The 15,527-nt window shown below is 44.8% G+C and overlaps 1 long non-coding RNA gene across 1 annotated transcript; it reads left to right on the top strand.

Annotated features, from left to right (window-relative positions):
- The first annotated feature begins 9,215 nt into the window (after positions 1–9,215).
- LOC124904688 (uncharacterized) lies at positions 9,216–13,848 on the top strand. Its single transcript, XR_007067224.1, has 2 exons — positions 9,216–9,625; positions 12,760–13,848. It is a non-coding gene; the product is annotated as an uncharacterized LOC124904688 (long non-coding RNA).
- The last annotated feature ends 1,679 nt before the right edge of the window (positions 13,849–15,527 follow it).

Here is a 15,527-nt window from a genome sequence, read left to right as displayed (position 1 = left end):
CCTGGGCTCAAGCGATCCTCCTGCCTCCACCTCCCAATGTGCTGGGATTGCAGGTGTGAGCCACCGTGCCTGGCCATACTTTTCATTGCTCTCCATTTTTGCTGTCCTGCTCTTCTTCTGTTGTTTATCTCAGAGGTAATGTCGTAGAATTTTAGAGCTGGAAGGGTCTCAGGGATGGGAAAAGCAGAGAGGTGGTGCAGCTGGGAGCTCACGGAGCAGAGGCCTGGGCTCAACCATCCTGCCAAGTGCCCAGTTTCTGCACCATTTTCCTTTCTGGAGAATCTCTGTAACATGGTGTGGCAGGGCTTACCATGTTCACCTTCTCTTGGAGGGTCTCTGTGAGAAAAATGGAGAAGGATTTCCATATGCCAGAAATCTGCCAAGGCATCTCTTTTTTTTTTTTGAGATGGAGTCTCGCTCTTTCGCCCAGGCTGGAGGGCAGTGGTGCTATCTTGGCTCACTGCAAGCTCCGCCTCCTGGGTTCACGCCATTCTCCTGCCTCAGCCTCCCGAGCAGCTGGGAATACAGGCGCCCGCCACCGCGCCCGGCTAATTTTTTGTGTTTTTAGTAGAGACAGGGTTTCACCATGTTAGCCAGGATGGTCTCGATCTCCTGACCTCGTGATCCGCCCGCCTTGGCCTCCCAAAGTGCTGGGATTACAGGCGTGAGCCACCACGCCCAGCCAAGGCATCTCTTTAAGATGACATAAACTGTTTATTGGTTTGCTTGTAACTTTTGCAATAACCATCAAATAGAATAAAAACAATGTGTCTGTTTTCAAGGTGGATCAAGTTGAAAAACTCACTAAGTCGGTGCAGGAATCCTAATCTTTTGGACTGTAGCATTTCAAATTAATATCAAAAGAAAACCAACCAGTTCCTGTGTGGGTTTGGAGAGATGAAATGTGCACCTTTTCGAAATGCTTCATATCAGCGGCTTATAAAAGTATTTTGATGGATGTTTGATGGAATTTGAATTATTGAGCAATGTTAAATAGAATTTTGGCTTCACCGTTGACGTACCGTTGAAAGGAGTTATAAACATAGCAGGAGATTTGCTTTAATAAAAGAGGAAAAAGGGAAAGCAAGTTAAATGCAGTAAACGCATGATGCGGAACAGTTGGAGGCACTCACCTCCTTCCTTCAGCTCCGTTTTCTCCTCTGTGTGTGGAGTTCTCTTACCACCTCTGCTGACGTATTCAGTACAGACATTCAGCTAGTACTGGGTGTTCCTGGGTCCCTATCTGAGACCCACCCCAAATGCGTGAAATATCTCCAGATTTTTAGACCCCATCCTGGATGCATTTCTTCTACATGTTGGCCAGTGCTGGTCAAGGGGCAGATATATTGTTCATCACTGTGGTATCTGGACTTAGAGAAGAAGATACACAGACAACTCTCTGCTGAACACTTTGAGTTCCAGAAGAGGGCAGATGACAGATGGGGCTGTTAACCGCAACGCGGCTTGTTCACACTATTTGGGCGTCCCGGGTGCACGCAGTGTGTACCTGGCAAGCCCGGTTGTACACTGGCACGAGCACAGAAGGGCTGGCTCTGGTCCTCCTCATGGAGGGGGCTGGGGAGAATCCTCAGAGACAGGCAGAACATGAGAAACCAGAGAAATTGAAATGAGAATTGACCACTAGGAGAGTGAATGGAAATGCAGAGGAGAATAAATGGGAAGTGAGAGGAGAATGGAAGATGTGAGGAGATTAAGGAAGAAATGCAAATTCAGGCCAGGTACGGTGGCTCACGCTTGTAATCCCAGCACTTTGGGAGGTTGAGGCAGGTGGGTCACCTGAGGTCAGGAGTTTAAGACCAGCCTCAGTGAGGCCAACATGGAAAAACCCCATCTCTACTAAAAATACAAAAATTAGCTGGGCGTGGTGGCACATGCCTGTAATCCCAGCTACTCAGGAGGCTGAGGCAAGAGAATTGCTTGAAACCTGGGAGGCAGAGGTTGCAGTGAGCTGAAATTGTGCCACTACACTCCAGCCTGGGTGACAGGGTGAGAGTCTGTCTCAAAAAAAAAAAAAAAAAAAAAAAGAAAAAAAAATGAAAAAGAAATGTGAATCCAGGCTGGATTAGAACAGAGAAATGGTCAAGGGGGGATGCGGGAAGGACGGTGAAGGGAAGCAAGCCCCTGTCCCCCAGTGGCAGCCCCCACCCGCCCTTCTTGTATCCTTCTACTTCTGTCCTCTCCTCTGTGACTTCTTTCCCTCCCTCCCCTACTCCCTCCCTCCCTTCTTTATTTTTTCTTTCTTTCTTTCTCTCTTTCTTTTTTTTTTTTTCAGACAGGATCTTGCTCTGTCACCCAGGCTGGAGTACAGTGGTGCAATCATAGCTCACTGCAGCCTCGACCTCCTGGGCCGAAGCGATCCTCCTGCCTCAGCCTCCTGAGTAGCTAGGACTACGGGTGTGCACCACCAGCTCAGCTGATTTTTATATTTTTTTGTAGAGACGGGTCTCACTTTGTTGTCCAAAACAAAGTTGATCTTGAACTCTTGGGTTCAAGTGATCCTCCTGCCACAGCCTCCCAACAGGCTGGGATTACAAATGTGAGCCATTGAGCCTGGCCAGTCTTTTCTTCGTAAATATTGACTTTTTATTTGAATTACAATCCAAAGCAGTTTTGGAAGTGTCTTATTTTTATGTGTACATTTCAAGTAGTTAATACTTATATACGGTATACAATTCAAAACAAAATGAGTTTATAATGAATTGTAAGTCTCTCCCACCCTGTTACCAGTCCCCTAGTTCTTCCTACAAAAGAACCATTGTTAGTGGCTGATTGTGTTTTCCACAGAGATTCTATGCAAATACGTACACCCTAAGCACACTATACACAATGTTTTGCAGTTGCTTTTTTTTTTTTTTTTTTTTACTTAACTGTATGATCTCAGAAATTGTGCCATATCGGTACATACAGAGCTGCCTTGTTGATTTCAAAGGCTGTACAGTGTTCCGTTTTATGGATTGACCATAATTTACATCTCTTCTGTTGATGGACATTTAGTTTGTTTCCAGTCTTTTGCTGTGATAAATTTCCTTGTACATACATCTCTGTGTGCACACGTATGTATAGATCTGACAGATACATTTTTAGAGATGAGATTGCTGGTCAGAAGGTATATGCATTTTAAAATTTGGAAACTATCACCACATATTCCTCTTTTTTAATTTACAGCACTACCTTGCCAAACCAGTGTGATCGAAAGTTGATCTTTGACAATCTGTTAGGCAAAACATGTATCTCCTTGAATCGGCTCATTGGCATTTCCTTTTCCGTGAACTGTTTATTCATGTTAAGGGTAGTTTTGATAAATCCAGACGGAAGAGTGTCAGGGTGGTGGAGGTCACCAACTGGGAAAGATTGAAGAGGGAGGGAAAATAGCCAAGCGTGCTTTACGAACGAAAAATAAACTCAAGGACGATGTCTCTTTCTAAAGAAACCACTGTATCTGGATGACGCTGTGTCAATATGCCAGTGGCACAGATGGTTCTTCAATTTCATGCACTGACATTTCTTCCCCTGGACTGCGATATAAAAGCCTTTTCTCTCACAGATCCGGTACTCACATTGCCATAGTAGCATGACTGGAGTATGTTTTCATTTAAAATTGTGTATAAAACCCATTGTTTCATTGCAAATAAAAGTTTAGATTTACTGCGACGTGACCACAAAGTGGTATTTTCATCCATAAAGCCCTCGGTTACTGATGTGCTTTAGTGCACTAAACTGGAGTGAGCCACCTCATTTTCAGTGAGTGACCTTGAGATGGCAGCAACATTACATTCAATGCTGGAATGCACCAAGTCCATTACAAAATGAAAGTAAAAATTGCAATAAATCAGAATAATACTGATTGTTATAATTTTATTATCAGAGCATTAAGTCAATAAAACTTATCTGAAATGTCATTTGAAATTGTATACAATTTTTACTAGTTATCCAGTATGTCTTAAAAGCATGCTTAAAACAACAAAATGAAGAAATCATGGATAAATTGTGCAAAAGCTGAGACTTAACTCATGCTGTAGTAAAACTAAATTCTCTTTTGATTTTTGCTTTGTAAAATTTTTTTTTTGCAGACTCTTTTTTTTTTTTAAGATGGTGTCTCACTCTATTGCCCAGGTTGGAGTGCAGAGGTGTGATCTTCACTCACTGCAACCTCCACCTCTCCAGCTCAAACGATTCTCGTGCCTCAGCCTTCCAAGTAGCTGGGACTACAGGCGCCCGCCACCATGCCCGGCTAATTTTTATATTTTTAGTAGAGACAGGGTTTCACCATGTTGGGGAGGTTGGTCTTGAGCTCCTGACCTCAAGTGATCCACCCACCCCAGCCTCCTAGAGTGCTGGGATTACAGGTGTGAGCCACTGCCTCTGGCCTTTTTTGCAGACTATACCATAATGCCTACTGTCTGCCCAGCTGTATTTAATGCCCGATTGTCTGATTACTTATTTTCTTGCAGGTTGTCTGGTCTTCTCTCATTTGTGATTTTATATAGGAAGGTCATCTAATATATGACATCCTTTCAGGACAGGAGAAAGTGGTTGTTTTTTTAAATAATGAGGAATAATGAAACTTATTTATGAAGGAAATCAGAAAAATTTATTGATGAATCACTATAAGGGAAACATGCAAATTAAAAAAGCCCTGCTTAATAGCATATTTATTACCAGGGAGCTTCCAAGGAATGAAATAGGCACGTAAAAGGCAGGATATTAGGTCATGTAATATTGCCTATATCAGGTGCAATACATGATTACTGTGCATTTTTATCTTGTCAATTGCAATTAGATTATCATAGTATTACTGTGTAATTAGTTAAAATGCAAGACACTAAAAATGTTTAGGTCCGTATTTTTGTAACTTTTTTTTCATTTTGTGATGGATTGCTGACATGTAAATTATGGAAAGTAGGAAAAATAGATTGTGAACGTATCCCTAGTTTGATATTAATGATGCTCTGGTTATCCGTTTGATCTTAGTCTGTGATAAAATCATTTTAGGCTGGGTGTGGTGGCTCACGCCTGTAATCCCAGTGCTTTGGGGGGGCTGAGGCAGGTGGATCACCTGAGGTCAGGAGTTCGAAATCAACCTGGCCAACATGGCAAAACCCCGTCTCTGCTAAAAATACAAAAATTAGCCAGGCATGGTGGCGGGCACATGTAATCCCAGCTACTGGGGAGGCTGAGGCAGGAGAATCACTTGAACCCAGGAGGCAGAGGCTGCAGTGAGCTGAGATCACGCCACTGCACTCCATCCTGGGTGACAGAGCGAGACTCTGTCTCAAGAAAAAACAAAACAAAACAAAACAAAACACAAAACAAAACAAAAAAACATTTTAAAGAAAATTGCAGGCCAGGAGCAGTGGCTCGTGCCTATAAACCCAGCGCTTTGAGAGGCCGAGGTGGGATGATCTCTTTGAGCCCAGGAGTGTGAGACCAGCCTGGGCAACATAAGGTGACCCTATCTCTATAAAAAAAATAAAATTAGCCTGCCTGTGGTCCCAGCTACTTGGGAGGCTGAGGTGAGAGGATCACTTGAGCCCAGGAGGTTGAGGCTGCAGTGAGCTAGGATCGTGCCACTGCACTCCAGCCTGGGTGACTGAGCAAGAAGTTAAGGTGCTGTGGTGTGCAGACATTGGACTGGAAGTCAAGCAGCTTCAGTCGCCCTTTAACTGTGCCACCATCCAGTTCCATGGCCCCAGTTAGAGGCTTGGTCCCTCTGAACTTGCCGCCTCGTCTGCGCAGTGAGCTGGGGTTGCAGCGAGTGCATATATGCAGTCACTCACTCAATCAGCAGACATTCACGAGTGCCAGCTACGGGCTGGGAACTGTGTTGGGGCTGGGGCTCCTGAGATGAATGAGGCACAACCCAGGCCAGTGAGTGAGTCACAGAACAGCAGAGAAAGAGAGTGTATAACAAAGTCCCAGAGCAGGTGCTGTGCAGGGTGTGGTGCAGGGAGAGTCTCCGGGGTGACTGTGACCCATAACCAAGAACTAAGCAGTTACTCTGTGCCAGGAGCATGGTGAGCTCTTTACATGTGTGGTGTGGTTTCTTTTCTTTTCTTTTCTTTTCTTTTCTTTCCTTTTCTTTTCTTTTCAGACAGAGTCTCATTCTGTTGCCCAGGCTGGAGTACAGTGGCATGGTCTTGGCTCACTGCAACCTCCGCCTCCCGGGTTCAAGTGATTCCCCTGCCTCAGCCTCCCAAGTAGCTGGGACTACAGATGTGCACCACCACGCCCAGCTAATTTTTTTTGTATTTTTAATGGAGACAGTGTTTTGCCATGTTGGCCATGCTGGTTTCGAATTCCTGACCTCAGCCTGCCTCAGCCTTCCAAAGTGCTGGGATTACTGGCATGAGCCACAGTGCCTGGCCAACATGTGTGGTTTCTTGTCCTCCTCTTCCTAACCCCACATTGCAGAGGAATTATGATCATCCCCATTATACAGATGAAGACGCTGAGGTACGGTGACTTTATCCTTCCACTGGAAGGCATCGTTAATAGAGGATGAGCTGGGGTTTTGATGCAGGCAGGCTTCATCCGTGTGCCACACTGCATCCACATGTTCCTTTCTTTAGCTTCTAGTCCAACTCAGAAAACACCGTTTGTCTAAAGAATGCAATAGACAGAGGCTGCAAGTCTTGTACAAAACTCCTAGAGAAGGGCAAACATCTTAGAAGGAAATCAAACGGCAGAGCAGAACAGCAGACGGAAGTGGCTTTGACCTTCTTCAGGGATGGGGTCATCACTTAGGTCCATTCTGGTGTTAACATCATGACCCTCTTATTATCTGCTGACTCAGAGCAGAAAATGGTATGGAAATCTCTGCTTGGAATTACTCATGCTACTGTGAAGTGGGACTGTGCAGTGGTTAGAAGCAGGGATCTATTTTTATTTTATTTTATTTATTTTAGTGACAGGGTCTCACTCTGTTGCCCACTGGTATGATCAAAGCTCACTGCAGGGCTGGGTGTGGTAACTCATGCCTGTAATCCCAACACTTTGGGAGGCCAAGGTGGGTGGATAACTTGAGACCAGGAGTTCAAGACCAGCCTGGCCAACATGGTGAATCTCCATCTCTACTAAAAATACAAAAATTAGCCAGGCATGGTGGTGCACGCCTGTAATCCCAGCTACTTGGGAGGCTGAGGCATGAGGATCACTTGAATCTGGGAAGCAGAGGTTGCAGTGAGCTGAGATCGTGCCACTGCACTCCAGCCTGGGCAGCAGAGTGAGACTCTGTCTCAAAATAAATAAATAAGTAAAAATAAATAAATAAATAAATAAATAAATAAAAACTTACTGCAGTCTTTAACTCCCAGGCTCAAGTTATCCTCCATCCTTGGCCCCTCAAGTAGCTGGGACTACAGGCACGCACCACCATGCCCAGATAACTTTTTAATTTTTTGTAGAGACAGGGTCGTGCATTGCTGCCTAGGCTGGTCTTGAACTCCTGGGCTCAAGTGATCCTCCTGCCTTGGCCTCCCAAAGTGCGGAGATTTCAAGTGGGAATCACCATGTCCTGCCAGTAGCAGGGCTCTAGAGTCAGACTGCCGGGGTCAAATCTCAGGGATAAGACACTTAATCTCAGCTCCAGTTCATCATCCATAAAATGGGGATATCAATCTGTGGCCTCCTCATAGACTTGCCTGAAGATTGAAGTGGACAATCCTGATGGTGGCTTGAGACCAGAGTCTGGCATGCTAAAAGTGCTTTGTAAGTGTTTTCTATAACTATCTTTATTACTGATGTCCATTTCCTCCTGGGAAATTGGCATAAATAGATATGTCACAGGAAATCCAGACAAAAATTAAATTAGAAGCTCACATTTTATCTGAATGCAGCTGAGACAAAAATCAAAGTAATGTATAGTTAAATGTAAATAATTGAGAAATGTCTTTCGGTAATAGCAGCCAGCATTGCAGATCTCAAATAAGTTGATTATTAGATAAGATACTTATTCCTCCCTCCCAAGAAGTATTGATTTGATGTTGGTGACAGTGTCAATTTGAGGGGGCTGATTGAATATGTTGGAAAATATTTATGTAAAATGGTCTAGCACGACAAGTTCTTTGAATTGCATTACGGACAGCATGGGTTTATGTATTTCAGACGTGACCTGCCTGCTGGTTGCTTCTTTGTGTACTGATGTGTGTCACCCTCTTGCAATTGGGAGTCTGGCCACAGCCCAGTCCTCTGCATTGAACTCTAGAGCCCCCGTTATTTGTCTGTTAATTTTCACAAAGCCTCATATTGCCTTGATTAAGTTTCTTTTATATGTTATGGAATCATCTCACAAACACTTCACCAAACAAGTCTCAAATGGCTTGCTAACCCTGGGTTCTTTGAGAGAAGCACTGGGGAAGTATTCTCTTTTGGAAAGTAATCATATTTGCTTGAAATCTTAAGATGTTAGATCACAGGCGAGGTGTGGTGGCTGATGCCTGTAATCCCTGCACTTTGAGAGGCCAAAGCTGGAGGATTGCTTCAGCCCAGAAGTTTAAGACCAGCCTGGGCAACATAGCAAGACCCTGTCTCCACAAAAACAAAATGAAAAACCAAAAAGCCACCCCAAACCAAAAACATAACTGGGCATGGCGGTGCATGCCTGTATTCCCAGCTACTTGGGAGGATGAGGTAGGAGGGAATGCTTGAACCCAGGGGAATCGAGGCTGCAGTGAGTCATGATCACAGCACTGCACTCCAGCCTGGGCGACAGAGTGAGACCCTGTCTCAAAAAAAAAAGATGTTAGATCACAAAATGCTTAAAACAATTTGTGGTTCTCCAGGGTGCAGCTTCTTAATCAGCACATATTGGTGTCAAACCAATGAGCCCTGCAACTTCTGGGCTTGGCCTTAGGGGCCACAGTGCTTGGAGGATTGTCTTGACCACGATGGGAGCAGAAACTCACTGTGAACAGTTGCCAATGTCAGCTGAATCAAATGCTCAGGGCTGTCTGGTGTGTGCTTTCTGACAATATTCATCTGCTTATGGTCATCTTTCTATTTTTGGTAGTTGAAAAGGACCATGTACCTTGTCAGAAAATCAACAGATGATTTGGCTTCTGGTACTTTGAAAGTGACACACACACACACACCTCACACTTAATGTACACTATGCAAACACCTACAAACACATATGCATGTGCACACAATCTTTCCTGACTTCTGCAAGCTAAGAAGACTTTTTTTTTTCATTGTAGGTCAAAAACATTCATTGCATCCCCTGGTGGAAGTGCCTAGAAAAACAAGCAACAAACAAAGAAACAAAACATTTGTTGTCATTGCCACGGAAACCTTTTATTATCACCCTGTAAGTTTCACATGTGGATGGGGCATAGCTTTCATCAACTCATTTCAGCAGCCTAATAGTTCTGATGGGCTCTACATAGTTCTTGTTGAAGCAGAAGTTGCAGCTGAAATCCAGAAAATCAAGATTCTTCTTCTGCAGAGACTGATCCCCACCATTGCCCTGCCCTGACCTCGAGGGAAGGAGGCTTGAGAATGAGCTGTTTTTCCCAGCAAGCGTCCCATTGTGGAAGGAGCGGTGACACACATTGGTGGCTGATGGTATCACAGCTGACACACCCCCTCCCTTCTGCTGTGGAAAGAGGTAGGAGGAATGCGGGGAGGGTGACCACAGTATTTTCAGGGTAAATGGGGGGCTCAAATGGAGCCTTGGTGAGTGTGCTTTGGGATCCAGACTCTTGGCCTAGCACAAGGTTTTAAGTTTATTTGGACCAATGAGAAAGAGACCATGGACAGACTGCTTCTGCTGGGGACCGTTCATTTTTGTCACCTAAAGAAGAAAAATCCTACAATTCTGGTGGTGTCAGACACAGGAGGACTTTTACATTTACAGTTGAGATTTATGAAGTCTGATGTCTTTGTTCCTATACTGCTCCCCTCCACTGCCCCCAGGCCCCAGCTCAGTCACCTCCAGGTCGAATTCCCAAGTGTGTTGCGCACTCCAGAACTCTAAATTATCTTGAGACTGAAATGAAAGAAACGGAGAGGCCTAGTTCTCCCAGCAAGAGCAGAGGGCACAGAAAGGCTGAAAAATGGATTGAGGATTGAGCACTACCCTGGAATGTTCCAGAATTTTTTTTTTGAGATGGATCCTTGCTCTGTTGCCCAGGCTGGAATGCAGTGGCACAATTTCGGCTCACTGTAGCTTCTACCTCTCGAGTTCAAGCAATTCTCCTGCCTCCACCTCCCGAGTAGCTGACACTACAGACACCTGCCACCATACCCGTCTAATTTTTTGTATTTTTAGTAGAGACAGGGTTTCACCATGTTGGCCAGGCTGGTCTCAAACTCCTGACCTCAAGTGATCCACCTGCCTCGGCCTCCCAAAGTGCTGGGATTACAGGCATGAGCCACCGTGCCTGGCCCAGAAAATATTTTTTTTTTTTTTTTTTTTTTTTTTTTTTTTTTTTTTTTGAGATGGAGTCTCGCTGTCGCCCACGCTGGAGTGCAGTGGCGCAATCTCGGCTCACTGCAGCCTCCGCCCCCTGGGGTTCACGCCATTCTCCTGCCTCAGCCTCCCGAGTAGCTGGGACTACAGGCGCCCGCCACCTCGCCCGGCTAATTTTTTTGTATTTTTAGTAGAGACGGGGTTTCACCGTGTTAGCCAGGATGGTCTCGATCTCCTGACCTCGTGATCCGCCCGCCTTGGCCTCCCAAAGTGCTGGGATTACAGGCGTGAGCCACCGCGCCCGGCCGAAAATATTTTTAAAAGGCCCATTATCTGGGTCATTTTAACTCAATGAATTCAAGTTTTAAGATGGTAACCTGATTGATCGCATTTTCATCATCATCATCACCACCCCCACCATCATCATTTTCTTTTTCTTTTAAGAAAAAAGGGCAGTTCAGTGAGGGATTCTGGCTGCCCATCCAGAACAGTTACTCACCAGGTTAACAGGCTGCAGTGTTTAATGCAAAACAAATCGCCAAGCTGGCACTGAGCGGTGTGAAACCCAATTGGCTAGAAACTGTGTCTCATTAGAGGCCATCCACACAGCAAGCAGATGCACTTGGAAGTCGTCGTGTGATTCCTTTACAGGAATCACAGAAATGATACTTGCTGCTACGCAGCCAATCGAGTCTCACGAATCTGTTTGCAGTTTCTCTTCCTTGATATTTTGCCTCTTCTATAATCTCATCCCTCCCTTGCACATTCAGCTGGCTTTTGCACACTCCCCTCCACAAAACACACTAGAGTTTTCAACAAAGACACTCCATTCTCTATTAAGTTGGCTCCAAGACCCACTGGGTTAAGTTTGAAGTCTGGATCATCAACCAGACAGTTGGGTTAAGGCCTCTCCTGCCCTTTGCAGATGAGAAACACATTTCTGGCAGAGAAAGGGCCTGCCTTTGAGCCTTCACAAAGTGGATGTTGACACTTATGCCAGCATTTGTTTCGAACCTCTGCTTGGAGTTTGTTTTTCTGAAGAAATAGGTTAAAAATCATCATATGCAAAGAAGAGCTCAAGTATTTCTCAGGTTGCAGAGTGGAATGTTGCCACCGCTTACATTTCTAACGAGTTGGCTCCTAAACTCCCGACAAAACAAAAAGAATACTTTGTGTCCCTCCCAAGAATAATGGAAAGGGTTTATCATTCATCCTGACACACTGATAATTCATTTTCACTGGAGTTGCTCAAGCCAAAATCCTCCAGGAGTTAGCCTGAGTTTTTTTGCTTCTCTGCACCCCACTTGAATGTCACATCCTGAGAGGCTTTTCCTAAACACCCAGGGTATAGGAGTGGCGTCTGTGACCCTGCCAATATCTCTCAATCACTCTATTCTGTTGTGTTCTCTTAATAGAATTTACAACTTTCTGAAGTTATCTTTTTTAAAAACTAATTTTTAAAAATTATTTTTTGTAGAGACAGGGTCTTACTATGTTGCCCAGGCTGGTCTCGAACTACTGGTCTCAAGTGATCCTCCTGCCTTGGCCTCCCAAAGTGTTGGGATTACAGGTGTGACCACCATGTCCAACCTGAAGTCATCTTGTTTATGATATGTTTACAACTTAATTGTTGGTCTCCTCTTACTGATTTTTTTTTTTTGAGACAGGGTCTCACTTTGTCACTCAGGCTGGAGTGCAGTGGCTTGATCTTGTTTCACAACAACCTCTACCTCCCAGGCTCAAGTGATCCTCTCACCCCAGCCTCCCGAGTAGCTGGGACTACAGGTGGATGCTATTACATCTGGCAATTTTTTTTTTGTACTTTTGGTAGATACAGGGTTTCTCCATATTGCCCAGGCTGCTCTTAAACTCCTGGACTCAAGAAAGTGCTGGGTTTATAGGCGTGAGCCATGGCGCCTGGCCCCCTACAGGTATTTAAATGTCAGAGGAGTTAGGATCTTGTTGGTTGTTCTCAGTTGTGGGGGATCCAGCACTTAGGACAGCGCTCGGCCCTTTGTACAAAAGTAAGTGAGTGATGAATGAGCTCATTGCAAGTCTCCAAGGCTCACACTTTAAGCCATTGAGTGTTTCTCTATTTGTGGTCTTTTTCTCATGAATAATCCCTTGACTTCTTTGCTGTTCCCGTGAAAGTTTTTGGGTGAGCAGCCCTTCTGGTTTTGCTTTTCATCTTGCTTTGTTTTTAATAGCCTTGGAGTTGTACATCTTGTTGCTCTGTCATAGAAGTCATTCTATACAAAGCTATCTGTAACCGTTTCCCATGTCAGAGGCAGAGCAGTGTCCAATTTTAATAATTTGGTGTTTGTTTGCAGAGCTAATCTGTTCTGGGATGACAATGAATCAGAGGAGAGATTCTGAAAAGGACACCCGAGGATCTCAGCTCCCTACATGGCCCTTGCAAAGTCAGGAGGGGCCTCCTTTGCTGGAAAATTACCTTGCTTGCCCTTTTGAGGGAACTGGGGCTGCCTAGAAACTGTACGGCCTAGTCATTGCAAGGAAACAGGGTCAAAAGGGCAAAATGGATGGGAAACTGGGCACCCCAGAGAGCGTCCATGGAGAAGCGCTGCTAGTGTTCCCCAGTGGGCAGCTATAATAATAGAGGGATAAAGCATTTGTGCATTAGCAGGATATTTTTTCATAACAGAAGTTGCTTTCTTTCTTTTATTTTATTACTATTTTTTGAGTCATGGTCTTGCTCTGTTGACCAGGCTGGAGTACAATGGCGTGATCTTGGCTCACTGCAGCCTCAACCTCTCAGGCTGAAGCGATCCTCCCACCTCAGCCTCCCAGGTAGCTGGGACTACAGGTTCATGCCACCATGCCCGGTGAATTTTTGTATTTTTTTGTAGAGGTGGGGTTTCACCATGTCGCCTGGGCTGGTCTCAGACTTCTGGGCTCAAGCCATCCTCCCTCCTCGGCCTCCCAAAGTGCTGGCACTATGGGTATGAGCCACAGTGTCCAGCCTTCCTTATTTCATAAGAAGAGTGTGTATACAGGCATGGCTGTTGATTCACGTTGCCATTGAAAGACATCTACTGCTCTAGCCAGAGGAATCCCTACTGACTCCAGGAGGTCCACAGTCATCATCCCTGTAGAAGGACAGGTATTGTATCCAAACTAGCCTAGTTCCTCAAACTCCCAAGTTCTGAAGTTTTATGAACTGATTACTAGAAAGAGGAGGCAGAGATTGTTCTGCTGAAATTGGCGGATAAATTGCAGAAAACTCAGGGATGGAGAAAACTAAAATAACGAAAATCAATAGTGCATCTGATGTGATCTTACAGTTTAATCTGAGCAGTTCTTAGCATATATAATTTGTGAGAAAATTCATTATGTGGGGATGCAGCAAGTACATTCCATATCAATGCACAAATGCTCTGTTAATAAATGCTATCACCCCACTTTGCATTGTGGAGAGTGCTGAACTTAAGTCAGAATCCTAGAATGTGATGGTTGGAAACGCATGAGCCCATTTTAGGGTTGAGTAAATAAATAAAACCCAGAGAGGGGAAGGGGCTTTTCCAGAGCCTCTTGGTCATTCCCAACTGTCCTCTAGACAGTGCCCAATCACCTGCCTCTTCATTGTGCCAGGGTGCAAAACCTTTCTCCTCTCTTTGCCCAACTGTTCAGCTCTTCCTGCAGTCCTATCCTCTAACTCACAATCCCAAACCCAATGAAACAAAGCACCCATTCCGCCCCAGTTAACAGGATTCTCCTTAGAAGGCAGATGATTTTTTGATTGAAGATTGAAGGCCATCTTCATTTTTATTATTTATTTATTTACTTGAGACAGAGTCTCACTCTGTTGCCCGGGCTGGAGTGCAGTGGTCTGATTTCGGCTGCTTATGAAAATCATGAGCTGCAGAGCTGGGTCTGTATCCAAGCCTCTGGCTCCTGCTACAGCATAGATAGCAGCTCTGCCCTCATCCCCTGGCTCCTGTGTCTAGGCATGTTGTGTGTGTTTTGCTCACACATCAACCTAGACATTGTTCCCACACGCTCCAAAAGTCCTTACCCACAAAAGCATGAATGATCCCTGGTCGGCAGAGAAGGCGATAGTATAAGAAATATAGTTGGTCTTTGTTCCCAGTTCTTGGCACAGAGATCTTAAAACTCTTGGAATTTCCTGAGTGATAGGAGAGTCTTTTGTTAATCATAATCAGCCTCTTTGGTCCCATGAATTTATGCTAATGATGTAGCTTAGTCTGGGATCCCTAGACAGCCTTAGCTTGGGTTGCCAGAAAGATCAGCTTTTCTGGTCACCAGAAAGACCAAGTAATTTGAGGACTGGAACTTTCATTCCCACACATTGACCTCTGGGAAGCAGACTGGAGGTTAAGCTCTAAAAACTTGAACAATGGGAGCTGACAAGCCTCTGGGTTGATGAACACATCCATGTGCCGGGAGGGTGGCATACCCCAGCTAGCTCCATGGGGACAGAAGCTCCTACGGACTTCCTGCCCCTTCCAGACCTCTCCCTACATACTTAGTCATCTGACTCTTTATTTATATGCTTTATAGTTAACTGGTAACAGTAAGTAAAGCGTTTCCCTGAGTTCTGTGAGCTGTTACAGCAAATTATTGAACCTTTATTTTCTAATTATTATTATTATGGTAGCAAATTATTGAATTATCGAAGAGGGGGCTATGGGAACCCCTGATTTGTAGCCAAGTCAGACAGAAAGAAGTGTGGGCAACCTGAAGACCCCCTACTTGCAATTGGTGTGTGACGTGGGAGGCAGTCGTATGAGGTCTGATATCATCTCCAGGTAGCTAAGGTCAGAATTGAAATGAATCACTGGGTACCCAGTTGGTGTCTTCAGAGAACTGGAAAATGACTTGATGTGGAAAATGCACACATTTTGTGCCAGAAATGTTGTGAGTAGGGAAAAAGTTTTGTTTTTAGGGTCACGACTCAAAGACTTTGTAACATCCTCAGTGAAAATTCCTGGCTACCAATGGCCACTCTTGGTCATTCCCAACTGTCCTTTAGACAGTGTCCAATCACCTGGCTCTTCATCGTGCCAGGGTGCAAAGCCTTTCTACTCTCTATGTCCAACTGTTAAGCTCTTCCCTCCGT

This window comes from Homo sapiens, chromosome 19 (genome assembly GCF_000001405.40).
Source record: "Homo sapiens chromosome 19, GRCh38.p14 Primary Assembly".
NCBI lineage: Eukaryota > Metazoa > Chordata > Mammalia > Primates > Hominidae > Homo > Homo sapiens.
This window is presented reverse-complemented; position numbering and strand designations above follow the sequence as displayed.